Source organism: Homo sapiens, chromosome 22 (assembly GCF_000001405.40).
Source record: "Homo sapiens chromosome 22, GRCh38.p14 Primary Assembly".
Taxonomy (NCBI): domain Eukaryota; kingdom Metazoa; phylum Chordata; class Mammalia; order Primates; family Hominidae; genus Homo; species Homo sapiens.
The window spans coordinates 46,376,331-46,393,203 of NC_000022.11; the positions used below are offsets into that span (position 1 = coordinate 46,376,331).

Sequence of the window (16,873 nt, forward strand, 5' to 3'; positions counted from 1 at the left end):
AAATTCTCTAACGGTGAGAGGACTATTTAGTCTTTCTACATCTTAAATCATTTTGTTTTGTTTTGAGACAGTCTCGCTCTATTGCCCAGGCTGGAGTGCAGTGGCTCCATCTCTGCTCACTGCAACCTCTGCCTCCCAGGCTCAAGCAATTCTCCTGCCTCAGCCTCCTGAGTAGCTGGGATTACAGGTGCCCGGCACCACGCCCAGCTAATTTTTGTATTTTTAGTAGAGATTGGGTTTTACCATGTTGGCAAGGCTGGTCTTCCTGACCTCAAGTGATCTGCCTGCCTCAGCCTCCCAAAGGGATCCTGGTGGGATTACACGCATGAGCCACTGCCCTTAAATCACTTTTGACAAGAGTTGTATTTTCCTGGGGATGTACACAAGAATCACTTGAACCTGGGAGGTGGAAGTTGCAGTGAGCTGAGATTGTGCCATCTCACTCCAGCCTGGATTGACAGAGCGAGACTCTCAAAAAAAAAAAAAAAGAAAGAAAGAAAGAAAGGGCCCCCCATCTCCCAATAGAGTCAAAGTGCTTGGGCCTGCCAGTGAATCCCACATCTCCACCCACAGCCTGTGACCAGGCACGTTCCTGAAAGGGCATCTGTGAAGCAGAGGTGGGGGTGGTGAGGAGGAGCTAGCCAGGGTGCTTGGAGTGGCCAGGACAGGACTATGGTAGCTGCTCCAAGCTGCGGCCCAGACAGTGGGGAGGGGAGCAGAGTGGCCATACCGGGTTTTCCGTCTGGTTGATCCCAATCACGAACACCAGCTGAGAGAGGAAGAGCGCCACGGCGAGGTGCTTGTGAATGCTGTGCAGGTTGGAGCGCAGCATGCGGACCAGGCTCAGGAGGACGAAGGCCACCAGCAGGGCTGCCAGTGACAAGGACACAGCGGCATAGGTGACAATCTTCAGAGGCAGGACCTCCCCGTTCTATGGGCAGGAGGGTTAAAGGCAGGAGAGAAGGTAAGGGCCGAGGCTCAGATCTGGTCATTGCATAACAGAGATAAATTACACACTTGCTTATGAAACGATCAAGGCTGGCAGGATCAGGCTGGGCTGGGGAGGCCGAGTGCTCATGGCTCTGGGCCTGGAACTGCCCCTCCTGAGGCTCCTTCAATGCCCTGGGCCCTGGGCATCCCTGGGGCCTGCGGCAGCACGCCAGGCTCCCTCCACTGGCTTGGGGGCCGTTCAGAGACCTCTGGCTTTGGGGCGCCCAGGCCATGGGAGCCTCGGACTCTCACTCCAGCCTCCTTTCTTCTGCCTCAATTTCAGCTTCCTTGGCCCACATGTCACCTGGCATCCTGGCCATGAGACAAGCCCCAACCCCGCCCACATATGAACAAACTCCACTAATCACTGACCCCGTCTCCAGGCTGGGTCCTGCTGGGGAGTGACATTTGCCCATGAGACAGGGGCAGAGGCGGGTCAGCTTCACCTGCATATTGCACAAGAGGCCGCTGCCCTCCTCCAGCCCCGCCTGAGGGCTGACTCACCCTTCCAAGAATGTGACAGAAACCAGGGCCACTTCACATCAAAAAGCCCTCGGAAAGGACAGTGGCCTGGGCCCTTGAGCCACAGTGCAACCCCGGGGAGGGGCCGGGGGAGGCTACCCAGGCCCCTGGTTCTGACTCCTAGACCCCAGGGTCCCACACAGGCCATGGCCAGGCTGGCTCCCACCTCCCTCCTGTCTGGATAACGGGAGGCCAGGACAGCGCTCGGGCCATTCCCCAATTCATCTGCAGCCCACAATGGCCGGCTCACATTCCCAGGCCGCTTAAAATGCCAGAGGTTAAACATTAGCCGCCCAGCCTTTTGTCCTGCTGCCCTGCGTGTGGCCCCGAGGGAGAGCGCCCAGCAGCTGTCACCTCCCTTAGGATCAAAGCAGGTGGGGAGCGGCACCGTCCAACAGACCCGCACTGAAGTGAGGGGCAGGTTCCGAGAGCTCCTCGGAGCCTGAGCTTTGGGTCTGCCATTCCGGGGTTTAATACATAACCAGGGCTCTCTGAAAACCCTTATAATGGGGCTTTGTTATGGAAATCCTCAGACTCTGGCCAATCCTCGAATATGTGTTTTAATCGGTTGATTTGTTTTGTTCCAAGCACTTAGAATGGAAGATTTAGTTTGAGGAGGGGACAGATTTGGGGGCAGGCTCAGCAGGTTTGAGGACGGGCAGGTTTGGCGGGGAGGTGCAGGTTTGGGGGGGAGGGGCAGGTTTGGCGGTAGGCCCAGAGGGCACAGTGGCCACGGGAGGATGCCCACCTCACGCCTGGAGATATCCATGAGCACCGCAAAGCTGGCTGTGTGGCTGCACTGGCAGGCGACATGTGTCCGGTTCCTGGACAGGAGCTCGCAGCCCCGGGCAGACCACCCTCCCGTCCCACCAACGCTGCGGAGAGGACAGAGAAGGGGCAGGGGTAAGACGGTTCCCTCTGCCCATGAGTCTGTAAAGGGCAGCCTTTGCCCAGCCCTGGGGGCTCCCAGGCCATCCTGGCCAAACCAAACAGCAGGTGCCGTGAGTGCTGAAAGCCCAGCGCCCTCGCAGGCTGCTCCCCACCGTGTTCCTCACCAGCCCCCTACACCGAAGACAAGAGCCACCTGGCTGTAAGAAGAGCAGCCTCACTGCCGCGGAGGCAGGACCATGGGAACAGTCTCCCTTCCCTTCTGTGTCTGGTCAGGGCCTCCAAGGAGCACCCTCTGAAGTTCAAGTTCTACGTGCCATCTAGCAGCAAAACTCAAATGGGGCTGTCTCGCGTCCGCCCCGCTGCTGGAACCACTGCCCGGGGTTCACACAGCTGCGATGCGGTCCCGTCTCCTTCTGAGGGCAGACGCTCTCAGAAAGGACATCTCACCTTCCTCTGACACTTTCATCTTCAGATTGCACAATGTTTTATGGGAACTGCCCAGAAGCCAGGGCCCCATTATGACTCCCGTTTTACTGATGGGAAGCCCCAAATAACAAGGTGTTATAAGGTGTGTCTCAGCTTCAGACAGGGCCCTGCCCTCGCAGACTCTGGGAAAAATCACATAACCTCTCAGATCCTTACTTTGCTAATCTGTAAAATGGGATGTTAGCATTAATATGTTTGGCACAAACTTTACAATCTGGGAATAATAAGTGCAACATAAAGCAGAGAGCAGGTCATTAGAGCTGGAGCTAATTGCCAGGACGCAGATGAATGCCCAAGACAGACAGCCGGGCCTGACGTCCGTCGTGGTGGAATGGGTTCCTTTCTTCTCTCTTTTATAAGCCAAGCGCCTACTACATTCCAGGTGCCATGCTGGTTGCTTATTAACTAGAACTTGGAAAGCACAGAAGCAGGAGAAGAATGAGGCTGGGCTAACCGGGCTCGCTCACCATAGCGCCACCCCCAGCACAGCCCCCACTCACGGCTCCTCACTGTGCCCAGGGCAACTGTGATGGGGGCAGCGTTCCTGCTGCACAGACGTCCCCAGATGCACAACGCTCCGCAGATTCAAGCCTGACTCCTGCATGGCGTCTCCCCTTCCCGGCACTCCCTCCCGGTGTGTGGGGAGGCAGTGGGTCTTCCCCTCCCTGACTGTGCTCCCATCCCGGCAACAGGGCCCTTCCCACCACACCCCCGTTCCAGTGCCTTCTTCTAAACAGAGACAGCAAAAGTGAAAACCAACCAGCAGAGAAAAGGCAAGCTCCCTGTAACGATAGAGCAACTCAAATGTCCACACCTCACGTGAACTCTGCAGCTAAAAAGCAAAACCAAAGCACAAACACTACTGGCTCCCAGCAGACGGGAGCCACACTGTGGTGCTGAATCCAGTCTCACGTGTGGGTGAGAATCACTCATTTTGCATTTTTCTAACGACGAAACGCCTTTCCCTCGCTTGCATGGATGCTAGAACACAGATTCTCGCGCACAGATTCTCCTGCGTTCGCCACTCTGTGACTCTCTGACGCTGCTTCTGAAACGGGCCAGATAAACTGTGCTGCGGCCAGGTGTGGCCTCTTGGGGGTGAAGCCAGTCCCCACAGCTAGACTGTGTCAGCCTCTCGGGCAAGACCGTCAGCAGATGGGCTCTTAGGCCAGTCTCTGGGTTCTGTCTCCCGTGTGTGACCGGAATGGGCCTGTCTTATCCGGCGGTGAACTGGGCACTACACTAGTGTTGGCCGCTGCATGTCGGGAGTCCCGCAGGTGAGGGGTCCCCTTCCTGGGTGTCAGCCTTGAGGGATCTCTCTGTGCGCCTGCACATCTGTATCTCCACGTGCAGGTCTGTGTGCATCTGTGTGTGGACATCTAGGGGAGGACTCTGATATTCCCACAGAAGCAGAGCAGGAGGCTCACTGCCCCCACGGGGGACTTAAAGGGGAAACACAGACCACAAGAGACCGTCCTCTTGGGGCGCTCTGCCACTGAGCCCCCGACCCTGCGGGGGCACTCTGCCTTGGCAAAGCCCTCACATGGGGCTCCTGGCGTCACACTTACGCCAGGGAGTGGTTCCAGAACACGCAGACAGGCTTGGTTCGCTCCTCCACCTCCAGCAGGGCGAACTCCACCAGGACGGGCCTCTCCAGGGGTCTCGGGAGCGGAGCCCCCTCGCTGTACACCAGCGTGCTCACCATCGGGGTATTAATGATGGGCCGGTGAGGCAACCTGAGGTCAAGAAGCCAGAGCATGGGGACAAACACGGTGAGGAAACATCTGCTTAAATCCCGCGCACAAATGCCCTGAGGACACGCCATGATGTGTTTCTAGGGGAGACAGAATCACACTCCGAGAGCTCGGACCCACGGACCCCACAGTATCTTCATCCCTAGAGCAGGTTTTATCACTGACAGGGCACACAGAGAGAGGTGTCACCTTTGGGTCAAATTGGGACTTCAGAAATTTAAAAAGAAAGAGAAGGCACAGGTGCAAAGATGTCACAGCCCATAATAGCTAATGGCAGAATCACAGGGGATGGTTTCAGTGTCCAGCAAAAGACACCAAAATAATGGCAGCTCATGGGGATGAATCACCCAGTCACTGAGAACCACGTGAACACGAGGATCCCAGAGCCAGGGAAGTATCTGGGAAATGGCAGGAAGAAGGAGGGCGGAGCCTTGGGCTGCTCCCACCGAGCAGGTTGCAAAGCTGCTTCTGGGACATTCATCCTTTCCAGCCAGGACTAGCTGAGCAGACCTAACCCCGGGGCCAGCAGCAGGCACTACCCATGACAGCCTTGGGCCAGGTGTGTGGGGACAGAATGGGGTCCCTCTGGGCACAAGATGGGGTGTATGCTGGGGAGGGGGCATTTCTGGCACAAACACCAGGATGAGCCCAGGCAAAGGGTGTGCAATGTTCCAGGGTGTGGTATCCTGTGGCAGACCCAGAATCTCCCTCCAAGGACCACCACAAGGCAATGGTCTCTGTCTCTGGGCCAGGGTCACGGTGAAATGTCACTGTGAAGACCTGTGCTTGATCAGGATCAGGATTTTGACCTGTGGAAGCCTCAGGAGCCTCCAGAACGGGCCCTCCCCGTGTGCCCCGTGCCCAGGCCTTACCGGAGGCTGCGACGGTCGGGGTCGTAGCGCTCGGGCAGGAGCTGCCCCAGGGTGCGGTAAATGATGACCAGAGCGACGGCGAACTGGCCAGCGTCATCAGGGTGTCGCCTCCGCCTGCTGATCGGGGCCTCCCTCTCGGTGCCAGGCCCCGGGCGCGTGGTCTGCGGGGTGGTCCTCCGGCCAGCCGGCCTCAGCAGGGGGCCTTCTGCAATGTGAGCAGAAGGTGAGGACTCTGGCAGGAGCACCTGTGTTCCCCAAGACTGCCGTCAGTGCCAGCAGGTGCTTCTCAAAAACCAACAGATGTCCCACAGAAAACAGTACCGTGGGTCCCCAAAAAATCAAAAACAGGACTTATCACATGACCCTGCAAGCCCACTTCTGGGTATACACCCCAAGGAACTGAAGGCGGGGACCCAGATACTTCTATTTTTATTTATTTATTTATTTTTTGAGACAGAGTCTTGCTCTGTCGCCCAGGCTGGAGTGCAGTGGCGCCATCTCGGCTCACTGCAAGCTCCGCCTCCCGGGTTCACGCCATTCTCCTGCCTCAGCCTCCCGAGTAGCTGGGATTACAGGTGCCCGCCACCACGCCTGGCTAATTTTTGTATTTTTAGTAGAGACAGAGTTTCACCTTGTTAGCCAGGATGGTCTCGATCTCCTGACCTCATGATCCGCCCGCCTCGGCCTCCCAAAGTGCTGGGATTACAGCCGTGAGCCACCGCGCCCGGCCTGGACCCAGATACTTCTATGCCCATGTTCACAGCAGCACCATTCACACAGGCCAAAAGGTGGAAACAACTCAGGCATGGGTCAACAGGTGAGTGGATAAGCAACACGCGCTCCATCCGCACAATGGAATATTACTCAGCCTTCAAAAGGAGGGGAAGTCTGACAGTTGCTGCGGCGCAGGTGAACCTAGCGGACATTAGGCTCGGTGAAATAAGCCAATCACAAAAGGACAAATATCGTGTGACTCCTCTTACAGGAGGTCCCTAGAGGAGTCAAATTCAAAGACAGAAAGAACGGTAGGCACCAGGGGCTGGGGAGGAGAGTTAGTGTTTCGTGGGCTAGAGTTTCAGATCTGCAGGCTGGAAAGAGTTCTGGAGATGGACTGTTTAAACATGAATGTATCTGATGCAGTTTGGATGTGTGGCCCCTCCAAATCTCATGTTGAAATGTGATCAGGGTTGAAAATCGGCCTGGTCGGAGGTGTCTGGGTCATGGGTGTGGATCCCCCAGGAATGGCTTGGTGCCCCGCCCTTGGTAATGAGCGAGTTCTCACTCTATTAGTTCCAGAGAGAGCTGGCTGCAATGGAGAGTCAGGGACCTCGTCCTCTTAGTTTCAAGCATGACCCCACATCAGAGTCACCCCTCTTTTTAAGACACATGAGATAACATCATATACCTGACAAAATCCATTTACTAACAACATTTCCAATTTTAAACTGTCCATTACAGAGTTTACCTTTTCACGTCCTTTTTATTTGGGGAAGGTTTTAGTAATTGTCATGGATCTGTAAAAAAGCACCTTAAGAAAATTCAAAATGTTCAAACTGTTTTGAATCATAATCTCAACCCAGGATTGAAGATTTGTTCATACACAGACAGCATTCTGGCTTTTTTGTTGTTGTTTTTTTGCGGGAAGGGGAAGGTGATTCTAAAATGCCTATTTCTATTTAGAAGCAGCTTTCCCCCCAACCAGACAGGTTTTTGCTCTGCTGCCCAGGCTGGGCTGTAGTGGCACGATCACAGCTCACTGCAGCCTCCATCTCCCGGACTCAAGCAATCCTCCCGCCTCAGCCTCCTGAGTAGGTGGGACTACAGGCATGCGCCACCATGCCCAGGTAATTAAAAAAAACTTCTTTAGTAGAGATGGAGTTTCTCTATGTTGCCCAGGTTGGTTCTGAATTTCTGGGCTCAAGCAATCCTCCCTGTGTCGGCCTCCCAAAGTGTTGGGGTTACAGGCATGAGCCACTGCGCCCAGCTAGAAGCAGCTTTTCACTGCACACCAAAGACAACCAGCTCACATACAAATTTCAGTTCTCTTTTCTTTCTGACATTATCAATTACATGGCTGAGTATCCCTCAGCTGAAATGCTTGGGAACATTTTGGAATTTTTTTTTTTTGAGACGGAGTCTTACCAGGCTGGCATATCTCGGCTCACTACAACCTCTGCCTCGTGGGCTCAAGCAATTCTCATGCCTCAGCCTCCTGAGTAGCTGGGATTACAGGCGCCCGCCACCGCAGCTGGCTATTTTTTGTATTTTTTAGTAGAGACGGGGTTTTACCACGTTGGCCAGGCTGGTCTCGAACTCCTGACCTCAGGTGATCTGCCCGCCTCGGCCTCCCAAAGTGCTGGGATTACAGGCGTGAGCCGCCGCGCCTGGCCTGGATTTTGATTTTTTTATTGTTTCATGCTTACGCTCCAATGAGCATTTCCTTTAAGTGTCAGGTTGGTGCTCAAGAAGGTTCAGGTTCTGGGGCATTTCAGATTTCAGGATTAGGATGTTCAGCCTGTACCTGAGCACTTGAACAAAACAACCTGCTGTCACCAACAGGACCTGGCACCAGAGAGCACTCGGAACACTCTGGCCCAGATCTTCAGTGCGCAGGTCCTGCGATGCCCGCAGCGGGGCCCTCCCCTCCCTGAACGCTGGGGACTCCGAGGGCAGCAGCAGGTTTCTAAGCGGTTTTACCTTTTTCTTCAGGTGGTCTGAAGAAGTCGGCTGGGAAGGAGACGGAGGACTCCAGCTCCCTGGGGAACTCTTCATGGATGGTGTCGAATCGCGGGACCCTGGCTCCCGTAAAGTTGAACTTGTCAAAGATGTCGACAGCAAGAACTGGGGGGACAGTTCCTTTAATCAGACATAACTCCCAGGGCTTTCTTGAACCCCTGCTGTTTTCAAAATGACCACAACTGTCACACTGACGCTGGCTGGCCATATTTATTTATTTATTTTTGAGGTGGAGTCTCGCAGTGTCTCCCAGGCTGGAGTGCAGTAGCGCAATCTCAGCTCACTGCAACCTCCGCCTCCCAGATTCAAGCAATATCTCCTGCCTCAGCCTCCCAAGTAGCTGGGATTACAGGCAGGCACCACCACGCCTGGCTAATTTTTTGTATTTTTGGTAGAGATGGGATTTCATCATGTCGGCCAGGCTGGTCTCAAACTCCTGACCTCAAGTAATTTGCATGCCCCGGCTTTCCAAAGTGCTGGGATTACAGGCATGAGCCACCACGCCCAGCCTATTTACTTATATTTATTTTTGAGACAGGATCTCACTCTATCACCCAGGCTGGAGTGCAGTAGCACAATCTCAGCTCACTGTAGCCTCGTCCTCCTGCGCTCAAGCGATCCTCCCACCTCAGCCTCAAGTAGCTGGGAATACAGGAGCATGCTACCACACCTGGCTAATTTTTATTTTTTATTTTTAATAGAGACAGGGTCTCACTATGGCGCCTGGCTGGTTTCGAACTCCTGGGCTCAAGCAATCTGCCCATCTCAGCCTCCCAGTGCTGGGATTACAGGTGTGAACTACCACGCCCAGCTGACTGACCATCTTTAGAACAGAACTGACTTCCAACTTCCTGCATCCCGCCTGTACTTACACCTGTCTACAGTGAGCCTGGAGTGAGGCGGGGTCCTCGACACCCACCCTTCTAGAGTCTCACACCTGAGGGTTTGGAAGCCCTGCCGGACCCCCAAGATCATGGCCCAACATCTCCCTAGCCCGGGACCTGTCCCCTGGGAGCCACGGGTACGTCATCACAGACTGTCTTCCCAAAGGCTCCATTTACAGATGAGGAAACAGAGGCCTACCTGCCGAATATTTTTTTTTTTTTTTTTTTTTGAGACGGAGTCTGGCTCTCTCGCCCAGGCTGGAGTGCAGTGGCATGATCTCGGCTCACTGCAAGCTCCGCTTCCCGGGTTCACGCCATTCTCCTGCCTCAGCCTCCCGAGTAGCTGGGACTACAAACGCCCACCACCACGACCGGCTACTTTTTTGTATTTTTAGTAGAGACGGGGTTTCACCATGTTAGCCAGGATGGTCTTGATCTCCTGACCCTGTGATCCGCCCACCTTGGCCTCCCAAATTGCTGGGATTACAGGCGTGAGCCACCGCGCCCGGCTTTTTTTTTTTTGAGATGGAGTCTCGCTCTGTCACCCATGCTGGAGTGCAATGGCGCAATCTCAGCTCACTGCAACCTCTGCCTCCCAGGTTCAAGTGATTCTCCTTCCTCAGCCTCCTGAGTAGCTGGGATTACAGGCATGCACCACCACACCTGGCTACTTTTTGTATTTTTAGTAGAGATGGGGTTTCACCATTTTGCCCAGGCTGGTCTCCAACTCCTGACCTCATGTGGTCTGCCTGTCCCGATCTCCCAAAGTGCTGGGATTACAGGTATGAGCCACTGTGCCCGGCCTCACAATCATTTTTCTAAGAGCATGGCCAAGGGGGGGCCGGGAGCCCACCTGCTTCACCCCATGGGGGCCTAGCTCTGGGGCACACCCCTGATGGTAGCAGGGTTCCACCCCCAACGCAGCCAGCGCCTTACTCATGTTGGCGGTGACGATGACGAAGGGCCGCAGGTACGTCCGCCGCACGTTGCGTGCCACGTTGCTGAAGTAGCCCTCGAGGCGCCGGAGCAGCTGTGCCGTGCCGCCCTCGCTCCGCTGGATCTGCTCCCACGCCGCCCTGGTGGCTGGGGCCAGGAGGGCGCTGCCCGAGTGGATGACGTCCTGGTCAGACAGACAGCACTCAGTACTCAGCCTGCGGAGGCCTGGCTCGTGGGACGGAGGGACACCTGCCCTGAAAGCCTTTGCTTGCCTAGTGGGCTCATTCATTCATTCCAGCCCTACACTTTAGACTGTGCTCTTTAATATTAGTTGTTTTTTGTTTTTTGTTGTTTTTTGTGTTTTTTTTTGAGACACACTTCCGCTCTTGTCGCCCAGGCTGGAATGCAGTGGTGTCATCTCGGCTCACTGCAACCTCCGCCTCCTGGGTTCAAGGAATTCTCTTGCTTCAACCTCCCGAGTAGCTGGGATTACAGGCACACATGTGCCACCACACCCGGCTAATTTTTGTATTTTTAGTAGAGACGGGGCTTCACCATGTTGGCCAGGCTGGTTTTGAACTCCTGACCTCAGGTGATTCACCTGCCTCGGCCTCCCAAAGTGCTGGGATTACAGGCGTGAGCCACCACGCCTGGCCTAGTTCCCAAATATTTTTTCAAAAAGTTTATCTTAAGAGGAATAAAAAAATGTTACTAAGCTCACAAAGTATATTAAAATCTAGAGAATTAAAGATGCTTCATATTCTTAGCTTAATTTACTAGATGTACAAGCACTGCTTAAATGCTTGGAAGGTCTGTTTGCTAGCCGAACAATTGAAATACAAAACAAAAAATCAACTACATGACATATATTAATTCCATTTAAAATACTTAGGGGAATTTCATGGTCTAAGTTTATAAATAGGATCAAACATTAATCAAAGTTGAATTCAAATAGATAAGGAAGTCTTTTTGTTTGTTTGTTTTGTTTTTGTTTTTTGAGACAGAGTTTCACTTTGTTGTCCAGCCTGGAGTGCAGTGGCACAGTCTTGGCTCACTGCAGCCTCTGCCTCCCGGGTTCAAGCAATTCTCGTGCCTCAGCCTCCCACCACCCCGCCCAGCTGATTTTTTTCATATTTTAGAAGAGACAGGGTTTCACCATGTTGCCCAGGCTGGTCTCGAACTCCTGGGCTCAGGCAATCTGCCCATCTCGGCCTCCCAAAGTGCTGGGATTACAGGCGTGAGCGACCGCGCCCGGCCAGAAGTCATTTTTTAATGTGTGATTTTCATAAATCCTGAACCCCATCAAATAAGCCAGAGAGACTGTGGGTGATTCAAATGTCAGAGGCTGGGACTCTGGCAGAGTGAGCCCTGCCAGGGGTTTTTCCACGTATACCCCAAGACGCTAAGGCAGGGAAGACATGTGGCGATGCCCCTGGTTATTACATCAGAACTCCTCCTGAACTCCACCAACCACGTCAAGCAGTGATGGAACCACCACAACCTGGGCTGCGCAGAGGTCCCACACTGAGGCCGCCGTGGACATGTGGACAGCTCCTCCGAGGGTGACCCTCAGCCTCTGTGCACCCCAGGGTCTGTGTGAAAGACTGGGTGGAGGCATGAGGCTGTGCTCAGGGGCTTGGGGACCACACCCAAGACAGAAACCAGGGCTGAGCACGGTTGCTCATGCCTGTAATCCCAACACTTTGGGTGGCTGAAGCGGGTGGATCACCTGAGGTCAGGAGTTCGAGACCAGCCTGGCCAACATGGTGAAACCCTGTCTCTACCAAAAATACAAAAATTAGCCGGGCGTGGTGGCGGGCGCCTGTAATCCCAGCTACTTGGGAGGCTGAGGCAGGAGAATTGCTTGAACCCGGGAGGTGGAGGTTGCAGTGAGCCAAGATCGCACCACTGCACTCCAGCCTGGACAACAGAGCAAGACCCCATCTTAAAAAAAAAAAGAAATAAAGAAAAAGAAACCAGAAAGGAAACTTGTTTGTGGAGTCACGCATGGAGAACAAACGCCACTGGCCCAACTCTCAGGCTGGGACTCAAATCCCAGCAAGGGGACCCTGCCTGGTCTCTGGCGGCCTTATGCAGACTAGAAGGTTCCATGGGGGCCCTGCATGGACTGGAGGCCCTTTGTGGATGAGGAGGTCCCTGAGGGCTCCGTGGGGATGGGTGGGAGGGACAGGGTGTCCCCCATGGGCTCTGTGTGGACAGGCACTCCTCTGGGGGTCCTGTCTGGACGAAGAGGCCTGCAGCAGAGCCACAACGAAACTTCTGGAGCCCCCGAAAGCAGTTTCCAAATATCAGGCTGCGTGAGTCCCCTCTGCATTCACCCTAAAACGATACTGCTCAGGGGATGACAACTTCCACACACACAGCCAGAGGGTTGAGGCGGAGGTGTGGCCCTCTGAAAGCAGGACCTCAGAGCTGCGGGTGGGAGTGGACATGGGGGCCCACTGCCGGGCCCTGCCCCTTACAAGCTGTGCCTTTGGGCAAACGCCTTAGCTCTCTGTGCCTCTGTTTCCTTACCTGTCAAATGGGTGGACGATACTCCATCACAGGCTGCATGGAAGGGAGAGGGGCTGATGCAGGTGGGCCACTTAGAATCCCTTAGAAGCCACTTAGATCACACTACAGGCACTACCAGGATCACCAGCAAGGCTGTGACCTGCATGTTTCCTTCCAGAACACTCCCTAACGCTCGTCGTCAGTTTAGTCAGGCACTGCACCCGCCAGGGCTCACATTTGAGAAATGAGGATGGGGATCCTGGACACAACCGTCTTCCACGAACTGAGGTAGACGCCCAGCCCCACAGCACCCACCCACGGGCATCCGAGTGTCCCCGAGTGTCCCCGAGCCAGGGTGGCGGCCACCCGCCTACCTCGTGAAAGTCGGCGTCCTGCGTGGCTGCCAGGTCGAAGCCCTGCTGCCAGCTCTCGTGCTGAAGGACGTGGCCCAGCAGCTGGTAGGCCGTGCGCACGTCATTGCCAAAGAGCGTGCCCGTGTGCTGTGTAGCACTGCGCAGCGCCCTCACCAGCTGCAGGGCCCTGGCGCCGTCCACCTGCGTCTCATTGCGGCTCAGCTTCTCATTCTGGAACAGGGAGGCAGTCGTGATGTGTGCAAACCCACTTCGGCCGCTTTCAGTCCCTGCTGTTACTCAGCAACTCACTACTGTCTGGTGCAAGTTTCCTTGTCAGAAAGGAACTTTAAAAAATCCAAAAGCCTGGCTGGGCATGGTGGCTCACGCCTGTAATCCCAGCACTTTGGGAGGCCAAGGCGGGTAGATCATTTGAGGTCAGGAATTCAAGACCAGCCTGTCCAATATGGTGAAAACCCGTCTCTACTCTCTATTTTGAAAATACTCTACTCTATGTCTCTATTTTAAAAATAAAAAAATTAGCAGGGTGTGGTGGTGGGCACCTGTAAGTCCCAACTACCAGGGAGGCTGAGGCAGAATCGCTTGAATCCGGGAAGCAGAGGTTGCAGCAAGCTGAGACCGTGCCACTGTCCTCTAGCTTAGGAGATAGAGTGAGACTCCATCTCCAAAAAAAGAAACAAAAAACAAAAAGCCCAAAAATGAGCACTGCTGACAGCTAGACCATGGAAACGAGGGTCTGGTGGGCCAAAGAGGGCTCAGAGAAAGATAGCGAGTGGGAGACGTGGGAACAAAAGCCATGAAATAGGGCAGGATCAGAGGGCAAATGGAGTCAAATGCAGGGACCCCGTGTTTTCAGAACCAAAGACACAGAGCTGGGTCCTCTGGGGGAGAGAAGTCCACGTGGGGGTGCCTGGCTCAGGTGCCAACACCCCGAAGTCCACAGGAACCTGCTGGCTCCAGGCTGCGGGCCCGTGGGGCTGTCCCTGCGCCATCCCAGCCGCCCCAACACTCCCCAGCCCAGGAGCCTCGGCCCACACAAACTCTCTCACGCATACACGAACACACACGTGCCCCTGCTGAACACACATCCCCGAGGCGCCCCTACCATGGCCCTGAGGTCCACGAAGGAGATGGTGGTACAGTTAAAGAGCTCTGGGGGCAGCCAGCCCTTCTCCCCGCTGCAGTGTCGGACCGCATTTCCTGGGGAAGGAGAGCAGGTGTGCAAAGCCTGAAACTCAAACTGTTGATCAATGCTTGTGTATTTCAATCCACAATCTGAATATACTTAAACCCAGAACACTGCGTGGTGGTTAGAACCCCATGGGGGCCAGGAGGTCGACACCAGCGCCCCTCTTTCATGTCAGGGCCACGGCCGAAGCTGCTCTGACACTGACAACCAGGCGTTTCGGGAGCCCAGCCAACAGGAGCCAGCACTTCCGAGCAAGTCCGTGAGGAAAGAAATCAGCAACACCATCTGCCGGCAGCCACGATCCCATGCACCAGGAATCCATTTCGGCTGGGCCTTTCCTTGCCTCACTGGATTTTCCAGACGCCCCTCACAGAGTGGACACAGTCAATGTCCCCATTTCACAGAGGTAACCCGATGCTATGAACAGTGAAGCCACTTGTCCCGGTGCCCCAGCCTGAGCGGCAGAGCAGGGACTGGCCGGGCCTGACTGGCGGGCGTCCCCACACGCGCTGCACTGTTCATGTTTCTGTTGCGCCCTCTGCCTGCTTTGTGTATTTCCTGGTAGGGAAAAGGCGATCGGATTTCTCCCCAGCACTTTGCCTGCGGATATTTTTTCAACACGAAACATTCCATGAGTCCCCACATCTCGACTGGCTCCTCCCACAAGGACGCCTGCCTCAGTTCCCTACACACAGGCCACGGCGACTCACCAACGGATCCCTTAGGGCATGGCACCGCAGCCGGCTGCCCGAACTTGGTCTGTGGCCACCAGATGCCGGCCTCAAATGCTTTGGGACAGCCATTGTAGATCACTGGGGTAGAGAAGAGAGAAGTCTGCTCAGCGGGGCACGCCACACCCACGACCACAAACAGGCACCACTGTCTGCATGCGCCTCCCTGCAGGAGGCCCTGCTCCCACCAAGAACCGAACCCTAGCATCTCCCCTGCCCCCATCCATGTCAGAGCTGGAGAGGGGTGACCAGGCTCTGACCCACACCCCCTCACGCAGAACCAGGTTTCTAGAAGGTCAAGAGAACTCAGAACACGAGGGAGCCCAGGGTCCCCCAAACACCCAGCGTGCATGCACACACGTGCACGCCAGTGCAGCAGCCTGTCCCCGCGCTGTAACCTGCAGGGTGTCGAGGGGCAACGCGGACCTTCACAGCCGAGCGTGGTGACCTCGGCAAACGGGTTGTCGCAGCGGTTGCACTGGCGGCCGATGACGCCGGGCTTGCAGGCACACTGCCCGGTGGCCATGTCGCAAGTGCGGCTGTGGGAGCCATGGGGGAAGCAGTCGCAGGGCAGACAGGTGTCCTGGGCTAGGAGCTTGTAGTAATTCTCCTGCAAAAGCCAGAGGCAGGGCCTGTGACTTCAGATGCCCGGGAGAGGCCCTACCTTGCAGCGTGTTTCCCGAGCGACGTCCAGACTCCCACCCGGGTGTGTGTGTTGGCCGCCAGCCATCCCACCCCTCATGGCTACCCTCTGCCCACATCCCACACCCAACGGGGGCTGCCTCCCAAGGCCCCACAAGGCCGGACCCAGGAGAGCAGTTCTTCCGGGAAGCACGCCCTCCCTCATGTCTTAACAAGTCTCAACAGTGGGCACCTTCGTATTTGTCCTAAAAAGAATCAGAGATCCAAATGGAGGCTTACGTATGGGGATAGCCCTTGGGCGTTTTTTTAAAGTTGTTTTGAAAAATTAGAAGCCACCTGAACGTCCACCATTGGGTGGGTCAGGGTGACAATCAAGAGCTTGTACTTCGGGTTCAGAAAGTCCTGGGTTCATGCCTGACCCTTGCCGTTTACCAGCTACATTGCCTGGGCTGGTCACCGGGACTCCCCAGGCCCAAGTAGCACCCCCTCAACCCCGCCCCGGAAAACGGGGCAGGCTGTGACCAGGCTGTGACTTGGGCAGACTCGTGAGCAACGTTCAGACCTGTGTGTCAGGTGGGGACTCCGACTGTGTGTAAAATGACAGTGAACGACAGGCCCAGAAGAGATGCTAAAACACTAACAATCACAGCTGGGAGGCGCATGGGGTGACTGCGATCTTTATGGGTTTTTATTACATTTTGTATAACTTTGTTTTTTTATTTTTTTGAGATGGGGTCTCACTGTGTTGCCCAGTCTGGAGTGCAGTGGTGCAGTCACAGCTCACTGCAGCCTCAACCTCCAGGGCTCAAGTGATCCTCCCACCTCAGCCTCCTGAGTAGCTGGGATCACAGGCAAGCATCAGCACGCTCAGCTAATGTTTTTATTTTTTGTAGAAATGGGAGTCTCACTATGTTGCCCAGGCTGGTCTTGAACTCCTGGGCTCAAGTAATCCCTCCTGCCTCGGCCTCCAGAGTAGCTGTGATTACAGGCATGAGCCACCACGCCCTGCCTATAACTTTGGATGAGAAAAAAATCGTAGGCAAGTTTTCGCCAATGCACTCCCCATGTTCTCTCTGCTCTGCCACCCACTATGCCACCACCGCCATCTGGTGACGTGTGGACCGACCCTGACCCAGGAGAGCTGTTTAATTTGAGCCTTTCAGGACACAAGTCCCATTTGCTGTTGGAACCACCGCAGGCACTGGGGGGGGACACTACTGACATCACGAGATGGCATCCAAGGGTGCCCTGGTACCAGCTTCCCTCCTAGGGCCAGCCGCATCTGCAGGAAGCTCACGTCCCTCGCCCAGGCTCCTGTTACCCTCAGACCTAACATTTGGGTTTCAAGTCACTGT

General features: G+C 55.1%; 1 protein-coding gene across 6 annotated transcripts in view, besides 7 other annotated features; it reads right to left on the reverse strand.

Moving 5' to 3' along the window:
• The window catches only part of CELSR1 (cadherin EGF LAG seven-pass G-type receptor 1), a 176,447-nt gene that overhangs the window by 15,157 nt on the left and 144,417 nt on the right, over nt 1-16,873 (reverse strand). For 5 of the 6 annotated variants that reach the window (NM_014246.4, NM_001378328.1, XM_047441624.1 and 2 more), the window contains exons 15-24: nt 15,303-15,486; nt 14,856-14,957; nt 14,062-14,156; nt 12,960-13,169; nt 10,072-10,255; nt 8,213-8,356; nt 5,516-5,720; nt 4,458-4,625; nt 2,261-2,387; nt 731-931 (exon numbers count right to left, since the gene is read on the reverse strand). In NM_014246.4, coding sequence (NP_055061.1) covers nt 731-931; nt 2,261-2,387; nt 4,458-4,625; nt 5,516-5,720; nt 8,213-8,356; nt 10,072-10,255; nt 12,960-13,169; nt 14,062-14,156; nt 14,856-14,957; nt 15,303-15,486 — 1,620 coding nt within the window. Of the gene's footprint in view, nt 1-730; nt 932-2,260; nt 2,388-4,457; nt 4,626-5,515; nt 5,721-8,212; nt 8,357-10,071; nt 10,256-12,959; nt 13,170-14,061; nt 14,157-14,197; nt 14,746-14,855; nt 14,958-15,302; nt 15,487-16,873 lie in introns of those variants that run through there. The other variant, XM_011530553.2, reaches the window with a different exon arrangement.
• Nucleotides 652-1,851: an enhancer, noted in NCBI's record as "CDK7 strongly-dependent group 2 enhancer chr22:46772879-46774078 (GRCh37/hg19 assembly coordinates)". NCBI's record gives its function as "activates an origin of replication core promoter dependent on BRD2, BRD4, P300/CBP, MED14 and CDK7 cofactors, with strong dependence on CDK7, by STARR-seq in HCT116 cells {active_cell/tissue: HCT116}" and the evidence as "EXISTENCE:reporter gene assay evidence [ECO:0000049][PMID:35650434]".
• Nucleotides 1,302-1,596: an enhancer, noted in NCBI's record as "tiled region #9841; K562 Activating non-DNase unmatched - State 10:DNaseD". NCBI's record gives its function as "activates a minimal TATA promoter and a strong SV40 promoter by Sharpr-MPRA in K562 cells {active_cell/tissue: K562}" and the evidence as "EXISTENCE:reporter gene assay evidence [ECO:0000049][PMID:27701403]".
• Nucleotides 1,302-1,596: a silencer, noted in NCBI's record as "tiled region #9841; HepG2 Repressive DNase matched - State 1:Tss". NCBI's record gives its function as "represses a minimal TATA promoter and a strong SV40 promoter by Sharpr-MPRA in HepG2 cells {active_cell/tissue: HepG2}" and the evidence as "EXISTENCE:reporter gene assay evidence [ECO:0000049][PMID:27701403]".
• Nucleotides 5,262-5,761: an enhancer, noted in NCBI's record as "H3K4me1 hESC enhancer chr22:46777489-46777988 (GRCh37/hg19 assembly coordinates)". NCBI's record gives its function as "activates a minimal SCP1, AML or CMV promoter by ChIP-STARR-seq in naive H9 embryonic stem cells {active_cell/tissue: H9 hESC(naive)}" and the evidence as "EXISTENCE:reporter gene assay evidence [ECO:0000049][PMID:30033119]".
• Nucleotides 7,949-8,132: a silencer, noted in NCBI's record as "fragment chr22:46780176-46780359 (GRCh37/hg19 assembly coordinates)". NCBI's record gives its function as "represses an EF-1alpha promoter that drives an FKBP-Casp9 reporter gene in an ReSE screen in K562 erythroleukemia cells {active_cell/tissue: K562}" and the evidence as "EXISTENCE:reporter gene assay evidence [ECO:0000049][PMID:32094911]".
• Nucleotides 9,811-11,010: an enhancer, noted in NCBI's record as "BRD4-independent group 4 enhancer chr22:46782038-46783237 (GRCh37/hg19 assembly coordinates)". NCBI's record gives its function as "activates an origin of replication core promoter dependent on BRD2, P300/CBP, MED14 and CDK7 cofactors, and independent of BRD4, by STARR-seq in HCT116 cells {active_cell/tissue: HCT116}" and the evidence as "EXISTENCE:reporter gene assay evidence [ECO:0000049][PMID:35650434]".
• Nucleotides 14,976-15,798: an enhancer, noted in NCBI's record as "H3K27ac-H3K4me1 hESC enhancer chr22:46787203-46788025 (GRCh37/hg19 assembly coordinates)". NCBI's record gives its function as "activates a minimal SCP1, AML or CMV promoter by ChIP-STARR-seq in naive H9 embryonic stem cells {active_cell/tissue: H9 hESC(naive)}" and the evidence as "EXISTENCE:reporter gene assay evidence [ECO:0000049][PMID:30033119]".